General features: G+C 37.5%; 2 long non-coding RNA genes across 3 annotated transcripts in view; one reads left to right on the plus strand and one right to left on the minus strand.

Annotated features, from left to right (window-relative positions):
• Positions 1 to 14,478, minus strand: part of LOC124900950 (uncharacterized) — a 153,441-nt gene that overhangs the window by 81,444 nt on the left and 57,519 nt on the right. Inside the window, exon 3 of the long non-coding RNA XR_007058710.1 lies at positions 2,036 to 2,100. This is a non-coding gene — a long non-coding RNA (uncharacterized LOC124900950). The remainder of the gene's footprint in view (positions 1 to 2,035; positions 2,101 to 14,478) is intronic.
• On the plus strand, positions 5,991 to 13,000 carry LOC124900951 (uncharacterized). 2 transcript variants are annotated; one of them, XR_007058712.1, is made up of 3 exons: positions 5,991 to 6,037; positions 12,757 to 12,852; positions 12,949 to 13,000. It is a non-coding gene; the product is annotated as an uncharacterized LOC124900951 (long non-coding RNA). The 2 variants fall into 2 exon arrangements; XR_007058711.1 differs by having other exon boundaries at positions 5,993 to 6,037; positions 12,747 to 12,852.

Below are 14,478 nucleotides of genomic sequence, written 5' to 3' on the forward strand. Positions count from 1 at the left end.
CTTTCTATATAGCCAAGAAGATATAATAATTACTTGCACATTCTCTTGCTCTCTCTTTTTTACTTTTTTTTTTTTCTTTAATGGAGTCTCACTCTGTCGCCCAGGCTGGAGTGCAGTGGCGTGATCTCGGCTCACTACAAGCTCCCTGTCCCGGGTTCACCCATTCTCCTGCCTCAGCCTCCTGAGTAGCTAGGACTATAGGCACCACCCACCACGCCTGGCTAATTTTCTTGTATTTTCAGTAGAGACGGGGTTTCACCTTGTTGGCCAGGGTGGTCTCCATCTCCTGACCTCGTGATCCGCCCCTCTCAGCCCCGCAAAGTGCTGGGTTTACAGGCGTGAGCCACCGCGCCCGGCCTCTTTTTCACTTTTTATAGAGACAGGGTCTCATTCTGTTGCCCAGGCTTGAATGCAGTTGCACGATCTTGGCTCACTGCAGCCTTGACCTCCTTGGCTCAAGCAATCATCCTGACTAAGCCTCCTAAGTAGCTGGGACTACAGGTATGCGCCACCATATCCAGCTAATTATTTTTAATTGTTTTTTGTGGAGACTGAGTCCTGAGTCTTGCTAATTTACCCAGATGAGTCTCAAGCCCCTTGCCTCAAGCGATCCTCTAACCTTGGCCTTCCAAAGTGCTGAGTTTATAGGTGTGATCCACCTCGAGGGGACTACATGCACATTCTCAACATTAATGACAACTTGTCCTCCTAGTAAGAGGACCCGACAGTCCATTTGCTATACATTCTTTCTTACTCCATCCTAAATGTATGTGGTAATCAGAGTACCCATCTGACCTACTTATTTGCTTTATTCAGAGGAAAAATAAAATATCTATCAAGGTAGCTTGGCTAAACTCAAACAATGACAGGGAAATGAGTGGGGGTGCTATCTTTCTTGATGTTAATATTTCAAAATGATGGCTCTGAGGACCTTGAGAACAAAACATTGCTGTGTTATGACTCTGTCAATAACCTCATTTCGGTTTTAAAAAAGGGTCACATGTATATTAATGGAACAAATAAAGGATTTAGACAAAAATATATGCAAATACATGATTTCTTGAGGAAAAGTTACTCTAACAACCAGGAAGGCAGAAAGGGTATCTACCTTTTAGTAATACAGAAAAGTCTTCCCCCACTCCCATAGATTCAAAAGTCATTTTCAAACATTTTTTTCTCTTGTATCACTAAGGTAATTTTTAATATATATATTTACATATATTTATCTTGGTAGCTAAATTATATTCATCATGGGTTTAAGTAGTTGCAATTCCCAGTAAATTAAAAATGTTAAAATTTTAAAATAATACTACTATGACACTTTTAAATATTTCTAAAGAAATCTAGAAATTATAGTTAATTTATATTCAATATTATTCATTTTGAAAAGGAAGGAAGAAGTGCTTCTTTTACGGTCAGAAATTTTACATTTAAAAATCTTGTTTTCTTGACTTGAATTTCATTTCTACTTTCGAAACAAAATGTTTATCAGTATAATTTACTGTTTTAGTACGTAAAGATAATTTATTAATTATATGGATTACAAAAGTAAATTTATATTTAATTTTTGTTGCTTTACAGTTCTTTTGAATTACATTATTAAAAGTTGAATTAAAACATAAACGTGACAGATTTTAAAATTCAATTATTTTCAAAAGCATTTTTTGAAATTTACCTCCTAATGTTTTGCCTATAAATTCATGTTTTTATAAATGAATCTTTTTTATTGCTAGAAGGTGGCAGGTTCCACATCATTCTTATTCCTATATCATTATTTTTATAAGATCTAAGAACTGAGAAATCTTGTTCTCAGAAATAAGTGGATAGGATTGGAAGGGCTTTGTTATAACAATGACATTTGATTCTTTGAACTCCTTTGAAGAATGACAACAAAAATTGCAGGTGTCCATTGACAATTCAACTAGGTATTTCTTCAAATTTTTAAAAGTAATTAAAAATCTAAAACAAAACAAAACAAAACAAAAAACACAAATGATTAGCAAGATTTTGTTACCCAGTCATCAAGGTGACTTACTTTTGAGAAGTGGAGATGAATGTTTTGAATTGCCCCTTCGTTTTGCATCCTGGAAATTTCAACACCTGGGGACAAAGCACCAAGGTAAAGTTAAAAAAAGTGGAGAAATATTTTTCTCTTTTAAAAAAAGAAACATTGTCGGAGAAGAATTCTTTTGAAAAAGAAGAAATGAAAGAGGGACAGCAAGAATGATGAAAGAAGTATTCGAATGTGACACCTGGAAACCTGTTCTTTAAAAGTCTTTGCCTGGCCACAGTACGCCTCACAAAGTCTTTGTGTACTCTCCAGGGTTAGCAGGCCTCAGATCAAAATTAGAAGCCTAAATGGCAAACTAACCAAATTGGTTTTTTTTTTTGTAAAGTAAAATCTCTCAATTCACTTTTAAAATAAACTTAATCTGGTTTGAAGTGTCCCTATGACAACCATCTCAATACTGAATTTTAATTATATGATAGGTATGTAGCTAATTACATCAAACAATAGTTAACAGTTAAATCGATCTCTGGCTGTATTTTTATTTTTATTTTTTTGAGAGCTTCTCTCTCTATCATCCAGGCTGGAGTGCAGTGACATGATCCCGGCTCACTGCAACCTCTGACTTCTGGGTTCAGGCAATTCTCATGCCCCAGCCACCCAAGTAGCTGGGACTACAGGCAGGCACTACCATGCCTGGCTAATTTTTTGTAATTTTTTTGTATTTTTAGTAGAGACAGGATTTTACCATGTTGTCTAGGTTGGTCTTGAACTCCTGGCCTCAAGTGATCCATCTGCCTCAGCCTCCCAAAATGCTGTGATTATAGGCGTGAGCCACTGCGCCTGGCCTCTGGCTGGTATTTTATGAACTTAATAATGAAGAACTGATTCTCTACCGAAAAAAAATGTATATATACAAAAAAAGAAAATGGTGAGGTATGGTGGTGCATGCCTGTAGTTCCATCTACTCAGAAGGCTGAGGTTGGAGGATTGCTTGAGCCCAGGAGTTCAAGGCTGCAATGAGCCGTGATCATGCCACTGTACATCAGCCTGGGCAACAGAGCAAGACCCTGTCTCATAAAGAAAAATAACAACAACTACCACAAAATGAAGAATTGGCGAATGTAGTAACTAGATCCAAGTTCATGGTTCTTACAGTTACCACTTCACAAGAAAAAGCCTGTAAGATTTAAAGCTGAGGATCACATGGCTAGTAACACTGAAAGAAGCACTATAGAACAAGGGAGATGAAGTCATTCTGAACATTCAGATTACTTATTTTTAACAAACAACTTAATATCTCTATCTTTTATATACTTTTCAGATTCTAAGCATAATTACGCTTTAGAGATAAGGACAACCATGCAAAATCATCAAAAACACTTCCTTGTAAAATGAGCCCTTCCTTCAGTTGACAGCGTTGACAGGAGATCCCAGGTGGGGAAAACACACCAAAAAGATTTTTATACTTAGGCTTTGCTCCACCAGGGACATTCACAAACAATCTCCAGGACATATTGGTTTCCTTGGGACTAAGGTATTTGTACAATGTCCATTTATAGGGGGTTAAAGTGCCTGTGATAGTGGTTGAAAGTTTTGACCCACTTTTACAGATTAATCAGCATTGTGGTGGTTACAGAATTTCCAGATAAGGCATGCTTGCTCTTCTCTAGACAAACTCATCCACGATATCTTAGTAACACTGATTCTGAGTTACCTTTAGTATTTTAGGTAGATCCACACAGTGTGATTGCTGATGTTATTTGTACGGATTTAGGAGCCACCAAGTGGCTATCACTGAACTGTCAAATAAATCTCAATACCTAGTTAAAATTCTTTTACAAGTAACTTTTCATAAAGAGGAATAAATGTTTACAGTAAGGGAGTATTTTGTTTACTTGGGCAGCTTTCTATGAAGAGAAGCATTTCTTGCAAAGCAATATGCCTGAGAATTAACTTTAGATTTCATTTCTATTTCACTGGAGTAGATATGTTTAAATTAACTTATAATTTCTTAAGGAGTCAGATAAAACATTAACTTCCTTTGTAATTTCTATACTTGCAGCTAAGAGTCGAAAATGAACCTAAGAGCCCTTCATTCCAGAATCATGCACAATTTCTAGTGCTTGTCTACTATCTACATAAATGTTCTCTCTCTTATATGCTCTTCACTTTTTGCCTCAGGCTGGATTGTGAGTTCCAGTTACAAAAATTGATTCAGCAACCCAGGCAGATGGAGTCTTCAGAGATAAGAGAATATCCAAAACAAGGTTAATTTTCTCTATTCTAGGTGAAAACTGTCAACAGATAATTTAAGATCAGAGTTAATTAAAGTTATGCCATTTAAGTCAGTTTTGGACGAGATGAGAGTTTGAATCACTGTCAGCTAAATATGTGGTTGTCCTTCATCCTGGAGGGGAAAAAGAAGGCAGCTTAAGATTTGTGCATTTTTGCTAATGTTATGAGATGTGAATAGCAAAGTAATCTCATCAATAGTAATAGTGTGTGTTGAAATATACTGTGTTACCTTATAGAAATGTTTTCTATCATACACGGGACCAGTTGGATACTGTAAAACTGACAGGGAAAAGAAAGTAAGAGGATTCTACTAATTAAACAGTATCTACAAGATTTCACAACAAAGGGGACACTGTTTGGTAACATTGTCTGGAAGAGTATTTGTTTAAGTAGTAAGTAAAGGTTTGGCATAATTAAGTTCATTTAGTGTAAGGGTTGCTGCAACGTTTCCTTAATAGTTATAAAAATAAGCTAAGACTGCTCAAATGAAAAGAAATACAGGTTATTCAGTCAGAGCTTGCTGTAGCCAGGGAGTTGGCCACCATCACTTGCAATATGGCAATGAATCAAAGGCAGGCAGGCAGTGAGAAAGCTTTATCGTGGGAAAACCAGAAGGCTACAGGAATGCCCTGGTTGGAAATTATTGTCATGGGGAATCTAAAGGTTGGATAACTAGAAGCAAAACATCCTATTTGATGGGTGAAGCTGCATAATTAGCATTCTCTGGTTGGTTCTAAATTGGAAGCTGGAGGGAAACACTTAGGGAAGCTGGCAGTTACCCACCAATTCCTGAGCATTTGGACCGATCGCTGCAGACTGGTTGCTGCAGAGGTCAGAGTTGATTTTCTGTGTGTGGAACCACCATTGTCTGTTAGTGTATTCAGTCTCCCATAGTATAAAGGCCGAAACTGCTTCAGGATCCAGATAAGAAGCTCTAGAAATTAGAATTTATTAGGGTCACGTAGTCCTTAGTCTGCCTCATGGACATAGTGATTGGTCTAAAGAAGCATTCTTCATTTCTGCTGCCCTAATCATATTGTTCCAGCTTCCACAGACTGATTCAATAGGTCCCGAAGCTAAATTAAGAACCAGGATTCTTCAATAATATATTTGAACTGGAAACAAAGAAAGAGTAAGACTCCGTTGGAAAATGGGAGACTGTGAAACTAGGAATTGACAGTGAGTATCTCTACAGCTGTGACAGACGTCAACCTGAGAGATAAAGCTGAGACCCAGAAGGCAAAGAATGTTACATACACAGAAAGAACATGTAAAATTGGAGCATCTATGTTTCTGCAACACATAAAGTATAACAATACCCCACCTTTCTTGAGATATTGCCTATGAGCCAGTTAATTACCCTCGTTTGTGAAACTGTTTGTCTCCTGCAGCCATTGAATCCTGATTAATACTCATTAAATCTCTATGAATGTCATAGTATATATCAGGCACTATGGCTCATATTATTGTTTTCCCCTGATATTTGGTTATTTTCTTTTCAAGGCACATGGAGACGGACCTCTACCTGCAATGCCCCCCTTGCACTTGGACAGAACCATGTGACTATTTATAAGCTATGACACATGAGCAGACATGACATGATGGGATTGATGGAGCAATGACCTCATCTTTTCTCCTGCCAAATATTATGAAAGAGGACTCAAGTCACTCACCTAAGGGACATTGGGTGAAAGTCAGTAATGAAGCTGAAAGGTCGCTAAATGCTGGCAAGTGAGATGGATTATAGTGTCTAGACTTTTTCCTGAGGTCATTCTATATCCAGCAGATATCTTTCAGTATATAGTCTATTTAAAACAATGTGCTAGTGACTATTGAGTGTGGTTACATTCTTTTTTTTTTGAGATGGAGTCTCACTCTGTCCCCTAGGCTGGAGTGCAGTGGCACAATCTTGGCTCACTGCAACCTCTGCCTCCTGGGTTCAAGCAATTCTCCTGAGTCAGCCTCCTGAGTAGCTGAGACTACAGGCACCCACCATCACGGCCGACTAGGTTTTGTATTTTTAGTAGAGACAGGGTTTCACCATATTGGCCAGGCTGGTCTTAAACTCCTGACCTTGTAATCTGCCCGCCTTGGCTTCCCAAAGTGCTGGGATTACAGGAGTGAGCCACCATGCCCAGCCAGTTACATTCTTTAAACAAGGAGTGGACGTACCCTGAAACAAGAGATTAGTCAAAGAGATTTTGCTATTCATGGGACCTAAAAGGTGGCTGTACTTCCCTTTACTGCTTTTCTATACACAGCAACGCATGCTGTATGGGTTCTTATAGGTCAGAGAGTGAAAGAGAACCAGGACCTATAAAAGAATACAAGTCTCTAAAATCAGAAAGTTTATTATTTAAAAAATAGTTATGTGCCAGTCTGCTTATAATTTTATTTTTATGACTGAGAGTGCCTTTCATAAGCACATTCTGGCAAACTATAAAACAAATAAATTGAAACTGAATAAAACCTTTAGACATTAGAAGTGTAGCACCAGATTTAGTACATAACTGCAAAACTTAAACATGCAATTATACATCTGCAAGCACATTAAATTGAAAGAAACTTTAACTGAATTTAGATACATTAATCGATACAAACTTTTCTGGTATATAGCACTTCTTGGCGCATTGAGTATTCTTAATCTTTAAGGCACATGAATATAATACCTTAGGAAAGATCTGTTCTCCACACATTTCCTCTATAAAGTGCCAAAAAAAAATAACGAAGAGCCAGTTTGTCTTCCGCATCAGTGTGATTTAGCATACATAAATAAGTATCTTTTCCCACAAAATAAAAGGTTCAGAACCCAAAGTGTCTGATTTTTATAGTGCTTTTTCTTTCCTTTTAAAAAGATAGCAAGATGAGGGTAAGAGGTAATTTAAGAGAAGTAATCATCCTCTAACAGCCAGCTTGCAGAAACTAAAACAAATATCAATGATGTAAAAATGTTGTTTTGACACTTCGGTAAATCAAAGTGTGAGATGGGTAAGAATATATTACAGGTGCTTGTATATCAAAGGCCTATGAAAATGGCTGATTATAAAGGAGAAAGTTAATGATCTCTAATTGTGTTGTAATTTAAATGCAGTATCACCGTAATGAAGAGAACAGATTTGCATGTTAACAAAATAAATATTAGAGGAGTGAGTGTAGGATGTTTGGGATAATTAATTCCATCCTCCACTCCTACATACATATGCATATACAAACTCAATTCAATTTTAAAGAGAACCCGAAGAACCAAAAATAGACTGAACACCCTTGATGTTGTATGGGAGCTTAAATTACTATTTTTGTTGTTCTCTGTGACTATCTCATTTAGTTTCTATTGTGTTTGCAATTTCTTCCAAGGTGATTTTTAATGGATTGAGTAATGCATAAAAATTTGCAGAAGTATGCAGAAAGTTTGTATGCAGGGCCATGTAGAGCTTTTATCCTACAGTAAATCCTAGTAGTTTGCTGGTGCTGTGTGATTTTTTTTTTGTTTAGGGTTGTGTGTGTGTGTGTGTGTGTGTGTGTGTGTGTGTGTGAAGCTTATTTATTCCATTTCAAGAAAAAGAAAAATAGACAAATTAGAATACCAAAAATAATTTGCAGCCAGTATCAACCAATTTATATTCAAGCTAAAAAATTAAAATAGCTTTAAGAGAATGGTAGAAGCATATTATTTAAAAACAAACTATGAAGAAATGGACAGAAGCATGTAGACATAGATAACAGAAATTTAAAGTAAAAAGTAGAAAATGAAATTATTCCCTTTTATACCTTAAAGCAAATGATTTCCATGATTCTAAGCCTCTATAAAAAGCAGCAACAATTTCATCATTTTCCTATTCACTATTCATGTTATCTAAATCAGGATTCTGCAAAATTATTTTCCTTGAATTACTTTTAAAACATACCAGAAATGAATTCACTACTCTAATTATCACAGCATTTCAGGGAATTATTAAAAATCAAATCAAATCAAATGAAACTTCATAAGTTGTTTACAAAAAAACTTTAGGTTCATTTGCTTCTAATGCAAGACATGGCAATGTGTCTTGGCCTGTGGATGTCCTCTCCATGTTAATAGTAAGTGCAAGTTTATGAAAAGACTAGACACCGACACCACCTGGGGAAATCAAAGCTTACTTACCTAAAATGCACAGGAGCCAAGAAGCATGTTTAAGTTCATGGGAGGGTAATGAATGCTATTCTCTAGAACATGTTTCAAGGAGCTGGACATGTTTCCTTACCAGGGGAGACTCACACTGCAGATCATAATTTCTGAGCAAGTGAGAAGTGAGAGTTCCATTGCACCTGTGGGAAGCTCTATCCTCCAAAGTGTAGCTTTACACACCCAGCTTGAGTCATTCTTCTTTCAGGTGTATCTGGACATATTCCAGGGACTAGCTTATCTGTGCCTGGTGCACTTCATTTATCACAATTAAACAATATACAATTTGACTGAAGGGCACAGTATAGGTCAGTGCATTTATGCATAACAGCAGGACTTATTAATCATCCTCAGCTCCTGCAGGCTAAGAAATCCTGCTTAAAATTTATTTGCATGCTTAGAACTAGAACAGAGCTTCGAAACTAGAATAAGGGTCACTTACTCTAATGTCTCTGGAAGCTCATGAGGTCAGCCCTGAACGCTAAGTTGCACTTCTTGAAACAGTTTTAACGCCCACGGCTATCTCCCAATTCATTCTGAGTTTGAGAAGGGAAAAAAATGAAATGACATTTAGTAGACTCCTATAACAGTTTGGGTAACACCAGCTGTTTTAACAAACAATCCTCAAAGTTAAAGTGGCTGAAAGTTTAAAATGTGTTTCTCATTAATAACATTCAAATAAAGGCATTTCTTGTCTGGGTGGCTTTTACCAGGGAGTAATTCAGGAAACTGGCCTCCAGTATTATAGCTCCAACTTCCTAGAGGGCTTCAGAGTTCTCCTTTTTCAAATGACACATGTTGAAAGAACTGGAAGAAACATTTATATGTACCACCCTCTAAAAGTGGTACACATTAACCGGGACACAGTTGCATGGAAATATAGCCAAGCTATGTATCCAGAAAGAAGAAAAAACAAGTGTGGTAAAGAGCTATCAGTCTATGCCTTAGCTTTTCAAAATCCAGTCTTACGGCGCACAGATGTAGAGAGAATATGTAGACCTTATATTATGTAAAGGCATTCACAGAACTATTTTTGTTGTTGTTAACATACTTGAGCTTGCCTACGCAATGTTCTTGTAGGTTTCCCAGACTAATAGCCTTCAAAATGGAGGTGAATATATACATATCAGAAAAAAATAAGTAACTTAAGTCTTCTAATAAGATATGTTTTACAAAAATATGAAGAAGATATAGTAACAGCTCCTTACAGCAGTGTAAGACCTTTCTTTCATCCATCTCCTCACCTATAGTTACTATCTTCACAATCCCATTTCCCTCTATGTAGATTTTACTTTATAACATATATTCTCATACACAAAAAATACAATAAAAAATTTTCCATTATCCAACAGAATTTATAAAGCCTACAAAATTTCTAAATATGTCATTTTATATGTAATGAATATGCTTGTTATTTCCCATTAAAAAAAAATGCAGCGGCCGGGTGTGGTGGCTTATGCCTGTAATCTCAACACTTTGGGAGGCCGAAGTGGATGGATTGCTTGAGCTCAGGAGTTTGGGACCCACCTGGCCAATGTGGCAAAAATCTGTCTCTACTAAAAACACAAAAATTAGCCAGGAGTGGTGGTGGGCACCTGTAGTCCCAGCTACCCATGAGGCTGAGGTGGGAGGATTGCTTGAGCTCAGAAAGCAGAGTTTGCAGTGAGCCATGGTTTTATCACTGCAGTCCAGCTTGGCGACCACTTGTTCTTTTTTGCTTGTTTCTTTGTCTTTTGCTTTCCTTTGCATCATAGAGATACGGGTGAAAATTTCTTTAACCCCTTAAGTGTTTCTACTTTGTCTCATATGCTATACCTCATTTGTTACTTGGAGTATACTCTTGGCCATGCTATTAGAAATGGATGATGTAAAAATGGTGCCCCCTGAAGTCAAGCAATGTGAAACATTTGTAAATTTCTACAACAAATGCCCTAAATTGTAGTCACTTAATTAAAATAATTATTTTCTATTTACTGTAATAGTCAACAGGTAAGAAATGCAGTCTTGCATGGATGTCCTACTAAAAAATATATGCCATCTTTTAGTCCATTGATAGTTAGCATATTGCCCTCATCTTCATGGACAAAAATTGGCAATTTTTCTGTAAAATCTCTCTTTCATATTACTGATGACAAAATTCTGCACTTTATCTGAGGAAGAAAATGACAAGACTGACATGTAGGACTCACTTCTCACTGTATAATACCATCCTTGGCTCCTGCCCCAGGATAATTTTGATATTTTTAATTATCAAACCAAAACCAATAAGTTATATAAAATATAGGCAAAGTTACATTCACTGGGAGAATTTTAGCACTCTCAAAATAACATACCAGTTCCTATTATCCAGTAAATTCCTAGCACGTCCCATGCTCCCGGAAGTGTGTCCGGATTCATGTTTTTCTGATATGTGAATGCAAAGTCACTAGCTATTGCCATTTGCCAGGGATTCAGAGAGACAGAAGTGTGGAAATTAACATTTAGATGTATGAGAAATATATGCAAGAAACTGAGACTGAGCAGGCAATTTGTAGATTGTATACAGTGTAGCCTAAACATGTTTGCTTCAGTGAATTTGTCATTTCTTGCATGGGGTAAGTCTAAAATTATTTATTGTTTAATTTTTTCATTAGAAATAAACCCTCTTGGAAGTAATTAAAATGCATATTTCATAAAAAATTAGTGCGATGATGATGACAATCATGTAACTTGCAAAACTTGAGTGTTGTTTTATCACAAACCTTATGAAAACAGATGCATCCTCGCCTTAAAAAAGAGAAGGAAAAAGGAAATGCTCTGGGCACAGCATGAAGCCCAGAAAAAGAATATTTCCAACAGCCCCATGGACATATGGAGAGGATAGAACTTAACAATGCTCATCATCTCTGGTCATCAGAGAAATGCAAATCAAAACTACAATGAGACAGCATCTCACACCAGTTAGAATGGCGATCATTAAAAAGTCAGGAAACAACAGGTGCTGGAGAGGATGTGGAGAAATAGGAACACTTTTACACTGTTGGTGGGAGTGTAAACTAGTTCAACCATTGTGGAAGACAGTGTGACAATTCCTCAAGGATCTAGAACTAGAAATACCATTTGACCCAGCCATCCCATTACTGGGTATATACCCAAAGGATTATAAATCATGCTATTATAAAGACACATGCACATATATGTTTATTGAGGCACTATTAATCATAGCAAAGACTTGGAACCAACCCAAATGTCCATCAATGATAGACTGGATTAAGAAAATCTGGCACATATATACCATGGAATACTATGCAGCCATAAAAAAGGATGAGCTCATGTCCTTTGTAGTGACTTGGATGAAGCTGGAAACCAGCATTCTCAGCAAAATATCACAAGGACAGAAAACCAAACACTGCATGTTCTCACTCACAGGTGGGAATTGAACAATGAGAACACTTGGACACAGGGTGGGGAACATCACACACAGGGGCCTGTTAGAGGAAATACCTAATGTTAATGATGAGTTAATGGGTGCAGCAAACCAACACGGCACATATATACATATGTAACAAACCTGCACGTTATGCACATGTACTCTAGAACTTAAAGTGTAAAAATAATAATAATAAAAAACTTCCAGCCCAAACAAAAATAGTATTAGCTACATTCAGAAGACCCCACAGAAGGGGTATAGTTTCCCACAGACACCCTACTAGAAAGCAGCTTTGTGGACAACATTCACCTCACCGTTTCCCAAAGATCATCATCATCACATCCTCTGCCTTAGAACCTATAACAGCGTCATTCATGGGGATGCCTCTCGCTCCTTAAAAAGTACTGAGAAAATTATGAGACAGAGAAGAAAGGGGGAGGGGATAAAATTAAACTTTGTTTACAGAAGCCTGGGCTCCTGACTTTGATTTTGCTACTAAAGTAGCCGTGGGGAAATATTTCTTGAAACAATAAAAATGATTGATTTAGGTTTCAAAGTTTTTAACTCACAATAAAGAATTTTTTCTCCTTTCTCTTGCACTGTTTTTCATAATGATGGTATAAAACATATTAAGGCGTTATCACAAACAATTACTTCATGAGATTATATTTGAGTTTGGGGATTTCAAAGTCATTTTATTAAAATTAGCTGTATTGTTACACATTTTGTCTGGAAAGTCTAAGTAATGTCATTAAAAGCCCAATTTAATTGCTTTGAAAAAGCTTATGCTTGACATGATATTCAGTCTCTTAGATTTCACAATTCATTCTCCGTGTATTACTACTATGACTGACTTGTCTCTTTTTGAGTTCCTTCTAGAATTCAAAAGCATTAAGATTTAAGTGTGGCTGACTGCCACGGTTACTACTTGAGACCGTCATTACTAGACTGAATGAAGAGACGAACATAGAAATGGTAACAAAAAACAAAAGAAACTTTTAAGGAAAGGCTAGCATGGGGAAGAAGAGAGCTCCCTGCTTCTAGTGGTCCTCATTCCATCTTTGCATTCAGATTCAACTGGTTCATGGTTCATACTGGGGGAACAAGGTCCATGGTTGGGATCCATGGGTCCCTCCAGTCTCCTGTTCCACGGTCGTACACACCTTGAGAGCACCCACTCGGTTTGTTCATCTTCTGCAAAGACGTAAGTATACCCTCGTCCCCACATTAGTAAATCTACCAAACAGAATCAAAAGTGTTTTCTTTTTTATTTATTTTTTATTTTTTTTGCTGTAGCCGGGAGGCACGCCATTGCTGAAACATTTGTAACTCACCTTCTGCCTCTTTGGTTAATTGCCGTGGGGTAAAACTTTCCACTGATAACAAGAAGCAGGCTCTTTCTGATTAACACACGGCACAGAGAAAGCAAATCGAGGCTTATCCTTCTCGTAAAACAGTATAGCAAAAAGCAATCCTTAAACCTTCAATTTGCACTGTACAGGTGGGTCCACTAGATGCTATGGGTGGTGATAGATAAATCTCTCTCCTAGTTGCACTTCCAAATCCCTGACCACCTCGCTTCTTCTTATGTGGAGAAGGGTACAATTTACAGGGAAGAAGCGAAAATTGAGCAACGTATTCTCCCAGTTCAAAAACCCAAAGATCTTGTGACGTTACCACTACCTGAATTTCTCCTTCACAATCAAAATCAACAACTCCTGGGCCTGTAAGTTAAGAGAGCTTTTACCAAAATCAATCCCATGTATCTTGTTGGCAAAGATCACCAAATACTAATGTGAATCTTAGTGAGTTTGTTTCTTTCATTTAATGTAATTGGTTCTCTAGAAGATCTAATCCTGCGTTTCCAGGTGTTCCTGGGGCGAGGGAATCAATGTGCCTCTGGAAACCCACCCCTGAAACGGAGTTGTGGCCTGGACGGGGAACGCCCTCATAGTTTGAGGTACCCGGGTCCAGGCCCCCTTCTTGCTTCCCAACAGGGGGGTGCCGTTTTGATGAAATTTTGAGTGGCGTTGATTAGCCCAATGATTTCCTTTATTGCATCGAGGGCAAAGTCCCGGCATTTTTTTCTGTTAAGAGGGGGACTATGTTACAAGATCTCTTTTTCACAGAGGTCTGATGGCATTCTCTTTTGAAACGTCCAAGTTTTCTACACTTATAACACTTTCCCACTTTAGGGCTTGACCCTTGGCTTCTTTTAGATCTGTCAGCTACCAAATTTGCTATTGCCTGAGTCAATAGTGCAGAGCAATGAAGCTCAGTTCCCACATCTTGACAAGCTCTGAGAAAGCCTCCCAAGTCCTCTGCACATCTCACAGGTGCCAGTGCACGTTTACAATCCATGAAAGCCAAAGCTAAAGTTAGCCTTTCTGTAGCCACAAAAGAAGACGATACAAGCCAATTTTCATTCTCCCTCTTCTGTTCACCATTTTCGATAGGCACTGTAGGTGGGGCAAAAAATTCTAAATAACAAAAAGATGGTACATACCAAAACTCCAAACAAACAAAAAAGAGAAAAGAAATAGCCAAATTCTTCCTCATGTTTCCCTGTTTTAAAAACTTCCCATTCTTTGTACCTCTAGG

This window comes from Homo sapiens, chromosome 5 (genome assembly GCF_000001405.40).
Source record: "Homo sapiens chromosome 5, GRCh38.p14 Primary Assembly".
Lineage (NCBI taxonomy): Eukaryota > Metazoa > Chordata > Mammalia > Primates > Hominidae > Homo > Homo sapiens.